Source organism: Homo sapiens, chromosome 2 (assembly GCF_000001405.40).
Source record: "Homo sapiens chromosome 2, GRCh38.p14 Primary Assembly".
NCBI lineage: Eukaryota > Metazoa > Chordata > Mammalia > Primates > Hominidae > Homo > Homo sapiens.
In genome coordinates, this window is record NC_000002.12 from 26,581,127 (window position 1) to 26,597,825 (window position 16,699).

General features: G+C 49.3%; 1 protein-coding gene across 4 annotated transcripts in view, besides 2 other annotated features; it reads right to left on the minus strand.

Moving 5' to 3' along the window:
- Positions 1-78: 78 nt before the first annotated feature.
- CIB4 (calcium and integrin binding family member 4) overlaps positions 79-16,699 on the minus strand; it is a 60,162-nt gene continuing 43,541 nt past the window's right edge. For all 4 annotated transcript variants that reach the window (NM_001029881.3, XM_011532514.3, XM_017003329.2 and 1 more), the window contains 4 exons: positions 14,050-14,191; positions 2,663-2,772; positions 1,699-1,787; positions 79-267 (listed from right to left, as the gene is read on the minus strand). In NM_001029881.3, coding sequence (NP_001025052.1) covers positions 237-267; positions 1,699-1,787; positions 2,663-2,772; positions 14,050-14,191 — 372 coding nt within the window. In that variant the 3' untranslated portion in view covers positions 79-236. The remainder of the gene's footprint in view (positions 268-1,698; positions 1,788-2,662; positions 2,773-14,049; positions 14,192-16,699) is intronic.
- Positions 9,721-10,465: an enhancer, noted in NCBI's record as "H3K4me1 hESC enhancer chr2:26813715-26814459 (GRCh37/hg19 assembly coordinates)". NCBI's record gives its function as "activates a minimal SCP1, AML or CMV promoter by ChIP-STARR-seq in primed H9 embryonic stem cells {active_cell/tissue: H9 hESC(primed)}" and the evidence as "EXISTENCE:reporter gene assay evidence [ECO:0000049][PMID:30033119]".
- Positions 10,466-11,209: an enhancer, noted in NCBI's record as "H3K4me1 hESC enhancer chr2:26814460-26815203 (GRCh37/hg19 assembly coordinates)". NCBI's record gives its function as "activates a minimal SCP1, AML or CMV promoter by ChIP-STARR-seq in primed H9 embryonic stem cells {active_cell/tissue: H9 hESC(primed)}" and the evidence as "EXISTENCE:reporter gene assay evidence [ECO:0000049][PMID:30033119]".

Consider the following 16,699-nt stretch of genomic DNA (forward strand, 5'->3'; position numbering starts at 1 on the left):
TGAAGCCCTGGAAAGGGCAGTTCTTAATAAAAAGTACCATGTATGACCCTGCATTTAAAAAGCGATGATCTGATGGGCTAAGGAAAAGCTTTTTCTTTTATCTAATAAACAATATTCTAGAGGTGAGTGTGGGCCCAGTACAAAGTCATACTTCAAACCAGCTCCCTCCAGTGCTGGAGGGGGTTCGATTCCTGTGGTCTCCCTCGAGGCTGCCATGTCAGGTGTTTGCCGCTACATCAGCATCCCCAGAAGTGAATCCGAAAGGAGCTGAAAGAAAGAATCCCGTGAGCCATGTGAGCCCGCAGGTCCAAGGGGCCCTCTGACTCCTGGGTTCACAGTAGTCCTGGAGGCTCCCTCCCCGGCCTGCATCTCGTGTCCCTTTCTCTGGGTGACGGCCACTTTGCAGCCATCCCAAAGCAACCCCAAACCTTCTTTAAGCTTCTTTCAGCATCACCCCAAGGCAAAGGCAGGGCACCAGAAGGAACCTTGTGGTGCTCGAATCAGTGGAAAGAAATGGAAGAGATTCAAAGAGAAACTCTGAGCAGTCGGGGTGCCAGCTTCAATTATGTGCTGGGCTGTGACAGAACAAGAGGAGTTAGCTTTGGCTGGGGTGGTCCCAAGTGTGCATCCTTAGAGAGGGGCCACCCAGGCCACAGGCCCTAGCAGGCCTGTTGGAATGAGGAGCCCCCTCCTCATCCAGGCAGTCAGAAGAGGGGAGGACCCCTGACCATGGCCACTCAGATTCTGTCTCTGGGGATTTGGAGTCAGAGCTGAGAGGTGTTACTCAGGAGTCACTGAAAGTCACTCAAGACCAAGGAGGTATAAACTTGACCACTGCAGGGAGGCCGTGCATGGTCTTATGTCTGACAAAGCGGAGACAGCTGGTGCACAGCACAGAGTGAGCGTGGAGGGGCGATGGGAGGCAGAGACGTTGGCACAGAGGGACCCAGCAGCCCCGGGCTCCTGCCCTGGTGCTGGCTGAGGTCTAGCTCTTTGCTCTGTTTCCCTTAGTCTGTAAAAGCACCTTGAGTGGGCATACTTGAAATCAGCGCACCTCTGAGACCAGGGGCAGAGTCGGACCCAGGAGCAGGAGACGCCAGCTCCACCCGGCTGGTCCTCCATGGCACGCGCTGCCTCCAGGGGGCACGCATCTCCCGAAAGCAGCAGCACCCCAAAAAGACTTCAACGTGGCCAGGGAGATCTGGAGATGGCCAGCCTTCTCAAGGACGTTTGGGCCTCAGAAGACCCTTTGGGCCCCTCCTGCTCTAAGAAATAGAATTGGGTGCTTCTCTCATTGTTTCTTTTCTATGAGCTCCACCACCAGCATCTTCAGATCCCCCCTGTAAACCCCTACCTCCCAGTTGGCCGCTGGAGGCAGTGGGGTCGTCAGGAGCCTAGTGGGCTTTGGGAGAAGCACAGAGGTGTGTCAGCTGGCACAGGGAATGCTCTGAGGTTGGAGCTGTGACGTCATTCCCAAAGCCTGGGATCCAGTCCTCTCCTCTGCCTTTTAATACCCCAGGGTTACCTAATTTCTCAGAATCTCCAGTTTTGCTGACTCTGAAAGAATCTGCAAAGTATTCTGGAAACTCACAGCCTTCTTGGGAAGACTGAGATGTCCCATGGAGTGAGGAGAGACTGGGGGCCCTTCCTGCCCCCACCACTCTCCTGGACAGTCTCACCCCCTCCAGAATGCCTTACTTCATGAAATCTGGAGACTTGGCCATTGCATGTTCAAACTCTGAGAAGGACAGCATGTTGTCATTGTCCAGATCCGACTCACTCAGGACCTGGCGAGGGAGCACAGAAGACAGTTGAGTGGAACCCCATGTCAGGCAGTGAGGTGGGGCACAGGGTGGAGGGGGAAAGCCACATGCCAGGGGCTCTCCCACATGCTTAACACTTGTCTCCTGGGTCCCCTGACCCCAGTGACCCCACAGAGATTAGGTTATGTGCACCAAAGTTTGGGACCCTACTGGTTGCCTCTCACTCCTGGGGCCTCCAGCACGAGCCTGGCAGTGAGAGAACAAGAGTGTCCCCCACCTGCCCCACCAACCAGTACACACAGGGGCTCTGCACTGAAGGGGGCCCAGGCAGGCAGGGAGGCGGTGGTGACTCCCTCAACAGTGCTTATGGTTTTATCTTCTAGTCCCCATCGAGACTGGAAATGCTGGACACTTGTCATGTTCTGAAAGCAGAGATCCATGCCCTGACTTGAGTTTGCAGGGCCGTCCTCGTGTTTGTCACTCCAGGACACCTGGGCACTGTGTTGTGCTGGGACAGAGTGGGGAGGGGATGTTGAGATGGGTCCCTCTGAGGTTGAGCTGTTGTTGGCCCACCAATGGCAGTCCCTGTCATGTAGGGAGGCCCCTCGAGTGGGTGGGTCGGGCTCCGTGTTCTGGGGACCCTGGAAAGGACTTGGAGGAAGGACAGAAAGTGGAGGGGCAGTTGCCTCCAGCTGTGTGCCCATTCCTCAGGGCACCCTGAGCTGCCTGTCCCCTTGGCAGCCCCCAGGGAATGTGTGCACCAAAGGCCAATGTGTCATCTGCCTCAGGCTGGCCCTGGGTCTCCTCCCAAGAGGGTGGCCTGACATCCGGGGGCTTTGGGTGACAACCTGGCCCCTATCCCCGGCCCCAGCCACCAACTCCCAGCCCCCAGCACACACGTGGTTCGTGAGGTCCATCAGGAGGTCCTCAGACATGTCATCACTGTTCAGCAGTCGCAGGATGATCCTCTGCAGATCCTCCTCATCAATGAAGCCATTCTCATTAAAATCTGCAAAGAAGAGGCCAGGCCTGCATTAGACGGAGCTGGGGGCTAAACAGGAAGAGGACTTGAGGAGTCCTGGGGGACACAGCACCAGCCAGGACCCCACAGATGCCCATTAGCCTCTGGGAGGCCCCCCAGAGCCCAACTCTCCCAGGTGGGTCACACGTATGTGCTAAATAACCCGTCGGAAATACCAATGGTAGTAAGTATCGATCGTGTGTGTACTACATGCTCAGACCTCTCCTGAGAGCTTTAAGTCATTGAATCTTCACAATCAACCTTTTATTAGTCTTTTACCAAAAAGAAACTGAGGCACAGAGGGTTATATGGTTGTCTGCAGCACCAGGAAGTGGAAGGGGAGATTCAAACCCAGCCAGGCTGACCTCCGAGCCCCATATCCACCCCTGCGCTTTGCAACTCTCCATCTCACAATTCAGAAGCCAGGGTGTCTTTTGGTGGCTGGGAGCCAGGCAGTGTGGAGCAGAGGGTGGCCTGGATCTGAAGTCAGAAGGCCTGGATCCCAGTCCCTGCTCCTGTCCCGATGTGGTAGCTCTGTGATCTGGGCATGTGCCCTCACCTCTGCAGTGAAGGGGGACAATGGTCCTTGTAGACTGTCCACAGTGGGGCTGGCCATACTGACCCTGGCTATGCCCTCAAAGGGTTAAGGGGACAAGAGGCAATATTCCCTCCAACCCCGTGCATCCTCCTTCCTGAAATGGAGTCCAGAATTGGGCAAGAATGGGCACCATTTCTTCATCCCAGGCAAGCCACAGCTGTCAGATAAAGGGTAATGTGACAGGGAGCCTGCAGACCATGGCAGGCTCCTTACATTTCACATCCCCCTGTAAAATAACCCAGGATGCTGCCGTGGCCCTGGTGTGCACAGAGGGTTCCGGCCGTGGGGAGCCCTGGGGACTCTGGGGTGGGTGGCAGTGGGGGCAGCACCGGGACTTCCCAGACTTCTGGGGGCCGCACTGACTCCCGTGTGTGCCGGCTGCTAGTTCCTCAACTGCAGCCACAGCCCAGGGCCCCTGCCTTCCAGGACAGCGCTCAGAAGTGCCCACCCACCGTCCCGCCAGTCGGGGAGTGCTGCCCTGAGCCTGGCCAGGCCTTGGGTCCTCCTTTTAGGGCCATAAAATATGGTCATTACATAAACCTCCTGAGTACTGAACAGTCAGGGTCCACCTGACCCTATTTCCCACAGAGCCACCTTGAGGGGTGTCCTTTATCCCTCAGGGCTGCCTAAATGGGTCTTCTCAACAGACCTTGGAAGAGCATGACCTGGAGGGACGGTGGGTGGAGGAGGTGCCAGGCCACCAGCGGGCAGAGACCGAGGCACCCTGGGGAGCCAGGGACGGCGGCAGAGATGGAGCCACCCTGGGATGCCAGGCAGGGACAGCAGCAGAGGAGCCACCCTGGGGTGCTTGGCAGGAGTGACTGGCATGGTGTGAGGGGAGCAGAGGGTGCGGGGAGGGCCTGGGTGGAGAAGCATCAGGGGTTAAGTCTGGAAGGCAGGCCGAGCTGTGAAGGCCTTGAATGGCAGGTGAGGTGATGTCCGGCCTTCTCAGCACCACTCCCCTAGAGCTCCCAGCAGTCACCCAAGCCCCTCACTGGATGGGCCGGGTGGTAAACACAGCTGCCTGAGTGAATTATAATAATCACCACCACAGCAAGCACAGATGTTTTCGCTGTGGCCAGGCAGTGGTCTAAGCGCTTTGCAGTTCACTGCATTTAATCCTTCAGAGATTATGAAACTGAGGCATGCACAGATTAAATAACCCTACTTACCTCCTTAATCTCATTTCAGCTCATTGCAACCTTTAAATATCACCTATAGGCTAATGAATGCCAAATGTATGTCTCCACCCTGGGTTTCTCCCCGAACTCCAGGCTCACATATGCACCTGCCTTCCTGCTCCTACCCAATAGTCCCTCATATGCTACCTGTCCAAGCCCAGGCTCCTCATGCTCCCCTCCCCAGCCCTTACCTCTAGACCTGCTGCACTCACAGCTGTCCCCTCCCTAGGAAGTGGGACTCTTCAGGACTCTTCCAGCCACTCAGGCCAACCTGGAGTCACCCTTACCTCTCTCCCTTGCACCCCACAGGCGATGGGTTGGCAAATCCTCCCAGCTCCCCGCACTTCCCATGCACTACCCCACCCTAGCCCAGCCACCGTTGCCTCTCTCCAGCTCACCCTGGCAGTCTCTTGCTGAGCTTCCCTCCTCTCTCTCTGCCCCCGGAAGTCTATTCCCAACACAGCAGCCCGGGTGATCTGTTGATCGTCATTCCTTCCTCATTGCCCTCTTCTTGCAGCCCTGTGTCACCCAGAGCGGAGCCCAAGTCCTAATCCCCAAGTCAGCCCGCCCTCACTCTGCCTCCTTGCTCAGTCAAGCCAGACACAATCCTGCCTCAGGGCCTTTGCACGGAGGCTCCCCCTCCTCGGGACACTCTCACCCAGAGATCCTCTAGGTCTTTATTCAAGTGTCGGCTCCTCCTAGGGCATCACCCAGCCCCTGTGAAAACATGCACTTCCTATGTCTTCCCAGCTTTGTCCTTCTCCCATCACAGAATACTCCCCAACACACTACGTGTTATTAGCTCGTTTATTTCCCTCCACTTGCATATAAATTCCACAAGGGCAGACATCTTTGTCTTTTTGCTCACTGCTATATCCCAAGTGCCCAGAACAATGCCTGGGACAGAGTAGACGCTCAATGGCTGTTGTTGAATAAATAACGAATGAACTACCCAGGGTAACCATTGGTAAGTGATGGAGACAGGATTAAACCCAGGCAGTCTCACTTAATGGGAAGTCTATGCTCTTAACTACCCCTAACTGCCTTTGTTGCAATAAAGCGCCAATCTTTCATGGGCAGAGGATCACCCAAAACAATCACTACATTTGCCAGCCTCCGTTGCTGCTAGATGTGCCCATGTGACCATGTTCTGGCCGATGAAGTGTAAGCAGAAGAGGCACAGACAACTTCTGGGACCATCTATAAAGAGAAGGTGTGGTCGTCTGGGATAATGAGGTGACCTTGGGAATGAAGGATAAAGCGACAAGACAGGAGGACCTGGGATCCCTGACACTGAGAGCTTTAGAATAGGTAACTGGCCCGGCACGGTGGATTACACTGTGGATTACATTCACGCCTGTAATCCCAGCACTTTGGGAGGCCAAGGCAGGTGGATCACTAGGTCAGGAGATTGAGACCATCCTGGCTAACACAGTGAAACCCCGTCTCTACTAAAAATACAAAAAATTAGCCGGGCGTAGTGGCTGGCGCCTGTAGTCCCAGCTACTCGGGAGGCTGAGGCAGGAGAATGGCATGAACCTGGGAGGCAGAGCTTGCAGTGAGTGAGATCACGCCACTGCACTCCAGCCTGGGCGACAGAGCAAGACTCCGTCTCAAAAAAAAAAAAAAAAAAAAAAAAGAACCACTATGGGTAACTATCTCTTGACTTCTACATATTAGATAAATAAATATATAGCTTTCAGCAATCTTGGAAGCTATCTTGCTTAAGCCACTGCTACCTGTGTTATACTGTCTTTGGCCACCAAATTTAATCCTAATTCATTATCTGAGTCTCAGTTTCCTCATCTGTAAAACGGGAGTAATAGCAGTACCTCTGCAGAGTTGCTGTGGAGATTAAATAAGAAAATACATGGACATCACCTGGAATATAGAAGATATTCAGTATAGAAGGTTAGATATAAATAAGAATAAGCATATTAGTTATATCTAATAAGCATCTTCTATACTAAGATATCTTAGTATATATAGTTATCATCACTACTTAGTAAATATACAAAGCTATAACTTAGTATAGTTATATATATCTTTTATACTAAGAGGCTCAATTCTACATCACTTGATTGCTAAACACTAAAAGTGCAAACCAAAGAGGCTTTATAAACCCACCTTGAAGGAAAGGAACTAGAGCTATATTGGTTTCTACCAGTTTCCATACTCATTTCTACTAGAGAAACTAAGGCCCAGGTTTGCTCATGTCACAGGGTCCTTTGGTGGCAGAGCCAAGACTTGTCTCTGTTCCCCATGGCAGGATATGGGTGTGGAAGGTGTAAGTTCCCCTCACTCCTCCAGCAGTGCCCCTTCCCTGGCTGAATGCTTGTCAGTGTCAGGACTGGAGCCTCTCTCCCTGCACAGGCTCTGCTACCACCTCCATGGGAAATGGCTCAGAGCAGGTGAAGGGGGCGAAGGGACCAGCCCCAGGGCCTGGAGACCGTGGACAGCTGCAGTGACACTACACTGCTGCTGGGAACCTCTGCAGCCTCTCAGAGACCCTGCGGTGTCCCCAGGCGTCCTGCTGGCCCAGCTCTTCTATGCAGAGACTGCAGCAAATGACATGGCTTTGGCCCCAAGCCATCTGGAAACAGAATAATTTGCTAGAGTAAATGTATTCCTGGACAGTTCCCCTCCTTTGGGGGTGGCAAGGACAGGGCAGCCTGGGAGGGGCTGGGGGCTGAGAGCTCCGGGAGGCTGACCAGCCCAGGCGGCCTCTGCAGCCTCAGACCACTTGGGAGGGGCTAGAGCCTTCTTCTTGCTGTCTCCCAACAATGCTAGGAGGGGCTCAGAGAGCTGGTGGAGTCAGGGCTCAGCCTTCAGTCCCCCCAAAGACTCTGACCATTGTCACTCGAAGTCTCTGTCATTCTTACTACTTGCAGTTTCCCAGGACTTTTACAGAAATCAACCTGTGGTGGAGGGAGGGCTCCTTTCACCGTGACTTTTGTGAGAACTGAGGTTTCTTCCTTTGCCTCTCCCCAGCCACCTGCACCTGCCGTGGCGTCAGTCCCTGGGAAGGTATGGGGAGACCTGCCAAAGGTGCTCCGGTACCTGCCTGGGGATAATTCCTAACTGGTGGAGGCTGTGCTGATGGGAGCAGGAAGACATTGCTGGGATGGTGGTCTCTCACCAGTGGAAACTGTCTCCAGAGGTACAGAGAGAGGAGAGTGAGCAGTTGGAGACCAGAGTGTCTCTCAGAGCAGGACATGGAGGCCAGTAGGTAAGCTCCAGGGAGGTGTGGCTGTCCCTGCTGGCTGCTGCCGCTGCTGCCGCTTCTTCTTTCTTCTTCTTCTTCTTCTTCTTCTTCTTCTTCTTCTTCTTCTTCTTCTTCTTCTTCTTCTTCTTCTTCTTCTTCTTCTTCCTCTTCCTCTTCCTCTTCTTCTTCTTCTTCTTCTTCTTCTTCTTCTTCCTCTTCTTCTTCTTCTTCTTCTTCTTCTTCTTCTCCTTCCCCTTCCCCTTCCCCTTCTCCTTCTCCTTCTTCCTCTTCCTCTTCCTCCCCTTCCCCTTCCTCTTCTTCTTCCTCCTCCTCCCCCTCTTCTTCTACTTCTCCTTCCTCCTATTCTCCTTCCTCCTCCTCCTTCTTTCCTCCTCCTCCTCCTCTCCTTCTCCTTCTCCTCCTTCTCCTTCTTCTTCTATTTTTGAGACAGAGTCTCACTCTTCTTCCCCAGGCTGGAGTGCAGTAGCACAATCTCAGCTCACTGCAACCTCTGCCTGACAAGTTCAAGTGATTCTCTTGCCTCAGCCTCCTGAGTAGCTGGGACTACAGGTGCCTGCCACCATGCCTAGCTAGTTTTTGTATTTTTAGTAGAGACGGGGTTTCACCATGTTGGCCAGGCTGGTCTCAAACTCCTGACCTCAGGTGATCCACCCACCTCAGCCTCTCAAAGTGCTGGGATTACAGGTGTGAGCCACTGCACCCAGCCCCTGCTGGATTCTTGACCAAAAGCCATTCTCCTGTCTTTCTTACTAACATAACTGCAGTTTCTTTTCAGGATGACACCATGTCCAGCTTAAAATGTGTAGCTGGATGTTTTAAGTCTCCTTTGCAGCTATGGGTAGCCAGGTGACATAGTTCTAGCCAATGAAATATAAACCAAAAATGCCGGGTGGGGCTTCCAAGAAAGCTTGTGAAAGGAGAGTGGACTTAGCTGCACTTTGGACGTACTTTTGTCCTGATCCCTTCTCCTATCACCTTTTCTTCCTGAAATGAAGATGAGATGTCTTTGGGCACAGAAGCCATGTTGTGACTATGAGGATAATGGTCCCCGACTGTTGGCAGAACAGGAAGCTTGAAGGAGCCTGGGCCCTCAGTAACCTCCTGAAGCCATTGCCCCAACTCTGGACTGCCTGACTCCAGACTTTGTTTTTTCTTTTTTGTAATACCATGGCCACTGCTCCACATCACTGAATGCAACCCTAGCTCCTGCAGCAGTTTAGAGCAACAGTTCTCACAGTCTGCTGCTCATTCGAGCCATCCAGGGAGCTTCCAAAAAGCCCAGGGACCAGGACATACCCAATACCATTCCATCAGGTCCCTGGAGCTGGGGCCCAAGCATCTGTAAAAAAAAAAAAAAAAAAAAAAAAAACTCACAGGTGATTCAATGTACAGCCAAGTGTGAGAAGCAGTGGGTTAGATCAATGCTTCTTAGACGTTAAAGCACAGAGGAATCTTGCTAAAATGCAGATTCAGATCCAGTGGGTGGAGTAGGGCCTGGGGCTCTGCATTTCTGATAAGCTTCCTGGCAGTGCTGATACTGCTGCTCTGTGGGCCACACCGGGGGTAGCAAGGGGCCGGAGCACTGAGTTCCGTCTTTGGACGGAATCATCACCATGACAGTTACCATGCCCGCCTTCTCCTTTCCCTTTCTGTCTCCTTTCCCCTCTTTTTTGATCCTTCTTCATCCTTCACTGTGGACCACTCCCCCCTCGACTTACTACGCAGGCTCAGGATCCACGTGTCCCATCTCTAATCTTGCTGACAGCTCTGTAAAGAAACCTTCCGAGCCCAGAGAGAATTCAGGGTTGTCTGAGTCTATCTGATGAAGCCTGGGCATTTATGAGCCCCTGAGCATCTATTTGCACAGCTGATTTGCATGAAGGCTTTGAACTTTTTGTGTTTGTGCTGAGGCTGGAGGAAGGAACCTCTGTGCTGCAAGGGGCCTGGAGAGAGAGTGGGGAGAAAGATACAAAGACATTGTGGGGGATATTGTGGTGTCTAGTCCTTGATCTACCCTGAGGCTCTCAGTCTGACCTCTGGGGACAGTGGGTGTTCTCCCCATGTCGCAGCTGAACACGATTTAGCTTGTGCCTTGAAGCCCAAGGAGAACCTTCTGCTCACCTCGCTCCTGAAGGGTTTGAGTGTTTTTGTTTGTTTAGCTCAGGAAACCATGGAAAGTCAGCGGAGGCAGACGTCTTTTGTGGCCTCTGCCCAGCCTACGCTCTACCGTCTCTGAGAAGTGTCCCCACCCCAGTGGCAGGCCTCTGGAGCCATGCTTGTTTCACAACTCTGCTTCTTTTTGGCTGCAGGTGATTGGGCAAGGCTGGTCACCTATCCCAGGGGAAGCTAGATCACTGGCTGGGTGAGAAAACAGAAGGGAGAAACAGAGATGCTTGTGGCTACTCAGAGTGAAGCCTACAGGCCATGTGGGGGCCGGGGAGTCATCTTTGGCCTGTGGGCACAGAGGCATAGCAGATCTGCAGAAGGAGAAGGAAAGCCCACAGAGAGAGGCAGAGATGAGAGACGAGGCAGCCATGGAGAGGAGACTGCAGCTGCCTGGCTTCCTGACTCTCATCCAGCTGTGCCCTAGGGCCCCAGGAGTCCTGCCTCACTTCCACCATGGGCTCCATAGTGCTCTTGGCAGACGAACTCTAGTGACCTCTCTCCTAAGAGCCACACATCTTGGTGCTCAGGCTTTCGTATAATCCCCAACCCCCTTGAGTGTGGGTGGGAACTGTGACTTGCTTGTAACCAATGGAACTTGGCAAAAGTGATGGGCTGTCACCTCCACCATCACGCTGTCTTTTATGACTCCATCTTGCCAGTGGGGTGACTCAAGAGTCTCTCCCCCTGGCTGTCTTTAAAGAAGCAAGTGGCCAGGTTGAGAGGCCCATGTGTCCAGGAGCTGAGGGCAGCCTCCGGCTGAGAGCCGGCAAGAAGTCAAGGCCCTAAGTCCTGCAGACACAAGGAAGTAAATTCTGCCAACAACGTGGGCAAGCTCATGAGCAGATTCCCCCAGTCAAGCGCCCTCCAGGTGAGAAGGCACCCCGGCCAGAACCTTGATGGCAGCTTGCAAAACCCTAAGAGGAGGACCCAACTAAGTGATGCCTGGACTCCTAACCCACAGAAACTGTGAGGTTACTAATGTATGTAATCTAAAGCCTCTAAGCTTGTGGTAATTTCTTACACAATGGAAAACTCATCTAGTGCTGGTTCTTATCAGTGGCATTTACATAGGTAAGTTTCTGTGGTTTGCAACCGAAAGACTCTTGGCTAAGACAGAAACAGCAAGCCTGGGCTGGCATCTTCCCAGAGGAGCGACCCCAGCCAGAGAGCACTGATGGGGGCTTGAGCCAGCACGGCTGCCACCTGTGGGAGGCCTGGCCGAGAGGAGCAGCGGCTAGAGGGCTCCAACTCCCTGGATGCATTGGGATCCCCATGGAAACTCCCAGAAATACTTGTGGTAAGGAAGGGGGAACGCTGGTGTGGACAGGTGGGGCCCATGAAGCCAACAGAATTTGGGTATGTGATTTAATTTCTACATACCCTGCTTGGAGTTCACTGTAAATCTGTGTCTTACATCAAATGTAGGACATTTGGGGCCATTATGTCTTCAAATATCTTTTCTGCACCGGTCACTCTCTCCTCTCCTTGTCAGACTCCACCTAGATACATGTTAGAGCTTTCTATTGTCCTGCACGTCTCTGAGGCTCTGTTCCCCTTTCCCTTGAATAATTTTTCTCTCTGTTCTTCAGATTAAGTTATTTCTATTGTTCTGTCTTCAAGTTTCCTGACTCTTCTGTTATCTCAATTCTCTCGTTAAGCTCATCCAGTGCATTTTTGTTTCAGATATTTTATTTTTCAGTTCTATATTTTCCATTTGATTCTTTCTTATAGTTTCTACTTCTTTGCTGAGATTTCCTATCTTTTCATTTGTTATGAGCAGTTTTTACATCCTTGGGCATGATTATTGTGATGATTAATGGTACGTGTCAATTTGACTGAGCTAAGGTTGCCCGGATAGCTGGCAACAGATTCTTTCTGGGTGTCTCTGTCAGGGTGTTTCCGGAAGAGACTGGCATTTGAATCAATAGGCTGAGTAAAGATGATCTGTCCTCACCAATTAGACATTGTTCCATCCATGGAGGGTCCAACGAACAAAAAGGTGGGGGAAGGATGAATTTGTACTCTCTGAGCTGAGACATCCGTCTTCTCCCATCCACAGACATTGATGCTCCTGGTTCTTGGACTTTCAGAATGAATTATGCTACCGCCTTTCCTAGCTTTCCAGCTTGCAGACAGCAGATGATGGGACTCCTCAGCCTCCATAATCACATGAGCCAGTTCCTAGAATAAATCTCTCTCTCTTTCTAGATATATATGTAGAGATATGTGTGTGTGTGTGTGTATATGTGTGTGTGTGTATATATACATATATACATATACATATATACACACGCACACATATACACACACACATATATACACACACATATATACACACACATATATATACACACTATATATACCCACACATACACTCACATACATATACACATATAAATAGCCTATTGGTTCTGTTTCTCTGCAGAATCCTGACTAATACAGTTATAATAGCTAATTTTAAATCTTTATTAGCTAATTCCAACATCTAGGTCATGTCAGTCAGTCTCCATTCTTGAGAATTCATCAATGAAAACAAATTTTTGTACATTGTGTACAATTTTGAATAGCTTCTTGGATATTATAAATGTTTTGTTGTAGACACTCTGTATTTCTCCAAAGATTGCTGAATTTTTGGTTTTAGCAGGCAATTGATTTCGACTCAAAGTGCAAACCCTGTCACTCATGGATCTGGTTAAAATGTGGTGGCAGCTCAAATCTCAGTTTAGTTCTTTTATCCTTAGCTGAGCTGCTTTGAGTTTGCCCTCGTGTATGTGGTGTAGAGGTCAGAAAGAGATATGGGCGTAGTTTACACACAACATTTGGACTCCCTTTCTCTTTCATAGGCTCTCCCTCACTTTGTAGGGGCTGTGTGTGCCCCAAACTCTCTGGCTTTTCAAGTCAGAAAGAATCCAGTGTTTCCATCAGCCTGCCTGAGTCCAGTGTTTCCACTCACTGAAGCCTACCTTCAGGATAAAAAAGTTAAAAATAAAAAAAGTGGGTGAAGGAAAACCCATCCACTACCGTTTCCTTCTTCCAGGCATCAGATCTCTCTAGAACACATCTCGCTTTTGGTAGCTTTCCAATGCCATCAGCTAGTTGATTTTTATATGTAGAGTTTTATAGTTGCTATCTGCAGGAGTGACCTATGATAGGAGTTTACTCAGCCATTCTCAGGAGGGGACTCTGTGATTTCATGTGTGCTTACCAAATGCTGAACCTGAGGACATATGAGATAAAAAATATTAAGTCCTTTTTACAGATGAAAAAACTGAGGCCTCATAGGTCCCTCTGGCTTAAAGCTCTTCTACTGTCTTCTATCCACATCCCACTTGGGTGAGGCAGAAATGAGATGGAGTCCACCATGTGGAGACTGGGGAGGAGCTGGCAGGAAAGGAAGGAACGTGAGATGCGAATGAGCAAGTCTAAATGTGCAAGTCCTTTGGGGCCAAAAAGTTATCAGGATGCACTGAAGACTTGCACCTGGTTTGTTTGAAAGCATCTTAAGACTTCTTTCTTTCCTTTTGATTCCTTTTGAGAATTCCCTTGCATCCCAGCTGTGCTAAGCAGACATTTGCCTGGTGAAGAGCAGAACTTCAGCAGAGTCTTGTGACTACCCGAGACAGAGACAGAGACCAAAAAATGTCAAAGTGCCTCAGAGATTATCTCTCCCTATCCCCTCATTTTACAGATGAGAAAACTGAGCCCCAGAAAGGTGAAACGATTTGTCCAAGATTGTTCAAATTTTCTTAACTTCCCATCCAACGCTCCTTCTGCCAAATAAGCATAAATCCTTTACATGCATATGTGATTCTCTCTCTCTCTCGCCTGCCCACACACCACACACTACCAGCAAATATCAACGCCAATGACCCCATTGCCCTCTGATGACACCGAGGGGAGTCTGTCCATTGATGCTGTCATTCTCAATCTTTTTTTTTTATTCCATGGTACATGCAAAATATGACACAGACCCACAGATACCCAAGCACACCCCAGTTAATGCCATCCATCAATGAACTGATGATGGAGTCCAGATACGGTATGTTCTCTATGGCCTTTCCACCCCTCACCCCTCAGTCCCCCACAGCACCTACCATAGATGCGAAAGGCATACTCAATCTTCAGGCTTGGGCAGGCCTGCTCGCTGAACACAGATGCCATGCCCAGCACATCCTCAAAGGAGAACATGCCTTTGTGGGAGAACACTCTGCAGATACGGTCTCTGAAAGGGTTGACCTGTGGGCGACAGGAGGAGCAGGGAGGAGGTCTATCAGGGTCGGGGCTGTGTCTCCCTGGGTCTCTCTCATCTATTACAAACACTGTGTCCTGGGTTTGAGATGAAGACAACAGCCACAATGTAAATATCGGAGTAGATGGTGGCTCACTGAGCCAGGACCCTGGGCATGATGGGGTGCCGGGGATGAATCTTGCAGTTGGATATGTGACTTCACAAGATTCCTGCAAGGATGCCACAATTGAAGATAATGGTTATAATGCAAATGCAAATGAACAAGAGATTGTCAGAGCTGAAACCTCTCCTACTCTAAATACGAGTCCTTCTCTATGAGGTAGAAATCATGAGCATCCAGGCAGAAATAACAAGAAGTCCTGCATCAATTTTCTTGTCCTGTGCTCAGGCGGGTGCAAGGCAAGCCAACAGGCTCACTGCCCAAGCGCATAGCCAGCCAGGGAATGAGATACCAAGCTTCTTTTCCCTGGGGACCTCCCCTTGTCTTTGCTAGTAGTGATGGGAGGGAGGTGGTTGCCAGGACACCAATACACTCCTTAGATCCATGTCACATGACTTATCTGCGCGCACACACACACACACACACACACACACACACAAACCATGTCTTATAGAGACTGAAAACAGGACAGTTGATGTGGTAGCTGCTGGTAGCACGAATAGTACCTATGACACAACATGTGAGCACGTTGGAAGATGCAGAGAAAATATTGCCTAAGATATACAGAAATAAGTATTTGAACAAATTTCACACTGTGAAAGCTTTGCTAAATAGTTAAATAAAGGTATAGATTTTCTAATGTGGTTTTCCTAGATTCTGTATGTGAAAAACCACATTTCTGCAAGCCACGAAAGGAAACAGAGACATGGACTGAATAGTAAATGAATGTCTTTAATAAAAACACCATTGCTGGGGAAAAGTGAAGGTACTCATCGAGGGGGGTGGCTGCTCCAGGATGGAAAAGAATTCTGGGGTGAGGATGCAGGATGGTAACACATGCCAAATGACTTCCCTGCAGGATTTCCTGCCGGGTACTGCAGTCAGGAAGGTAAGCCCAGAAATAACTAAAGTACAGCAGAAGGCATTGAAATGGTTCTTTTTTAAAAAAGAGTTAAAATATAGTAAAACTTGGCCAGGCACGGTGGCTCAAGCTTGTAATCCCAGCACTTTGGGTGGCCGAGGCAGGTGGATCACCTGAGGTCAGGAGTTCAAGACCAGCCTGGCCAAAATGGTGAAACCCCGTCTCTACTAACAATACAAAAAAAATTAGCCGGGCGTGGTCGCGCATGCCTGTAATCCCAGCTACTCGGGAGGCTGAGGCAGGAGAATCGCTTGAACCTGGGAGGCAGGGGCTGCAGTGAGCCGAGATTGCGCCATTGCCCTCCAGCCTGGGCAAAAAGAGCAAAACTGCATCTAAAAAAAAAAAAAAAAGTAAAGCTTATACAGTGATTTGTAATTAGAAGGAAAGTAAGTATGAAAATCTTCTGAACCACATGGAGGTTTACTGCTTAGCTCTTGGAAGAGTTCTTAAAAGAGCTATCAAACTTAAAGATGAGTTATATGTTTTCCTGGCACAAAAAGACAAGTGTTCCAAATTTGCTGACCTTTCCATGATGACAAGTAGCTATTGGCAGTGTGCTACCTAGCAAATATCCACCAAAAAATGAACTCAATTTCATTTGACTTTTCAAGGTAAAGGTGACTCATTTTAGCGTTATTGCTTTTCTAAAGAAACTCATGCTTTGAAGAGAATATTTTTAAAATGGGATTTTTTGTGGTTAAAAACGTGTATCACCTATAGAAATGCTTATATTACATACCTGGAAATATAGAAACAGACTCTTCTGACCTGTTTGGATATTGTCCAAATAAAGAATGTCAGTGGATTTTGAATCCATTTGTTAAAAATATAAAAATATAATACTTTCCACTTAGTGTAAGAGCCACTGACTGATGTAAGGGAAGACAGACAATTACTAGCTTAATTTCAATTGAAAGCTTTTAATTGGTGAATGGGGTTGAAAATGAGTGCCGTGATTTAAGACATATAGCCCATGACACATTTCCTCTCTTTGGATCAGTTACGACAGCTATTAAAAAAAAAAAAAAACTGAACTAGAACCACACCTCTGAATGGCTCTAGCTCAATCTTAAAGCAAGATTTCAAAGAATAATGAAGCATATCCAACCACATTGCTTTCCCTTACAATATTATTAGCTATATGTAAACAATAGCATAGTGTAAGGAAGAAATCTTACTATATCCATTAAAGGGAAAATTGTTTGTTAAATATTTTATGTAGTTTTTAGCTTGTCCTTAAATTTTTTTATTTTGATATTATATCAGATTAGTATAGTAGTAAATGTATACAGTTTATAAATGAATATATACATATGATGAGTACATGTTTCTCATTTTTTCATATTATTGCGGGGGATTTGTGATCTAGGCTAACCTGCTCATCTCACGGATGTGGAAATGAGGCCTGGGGAA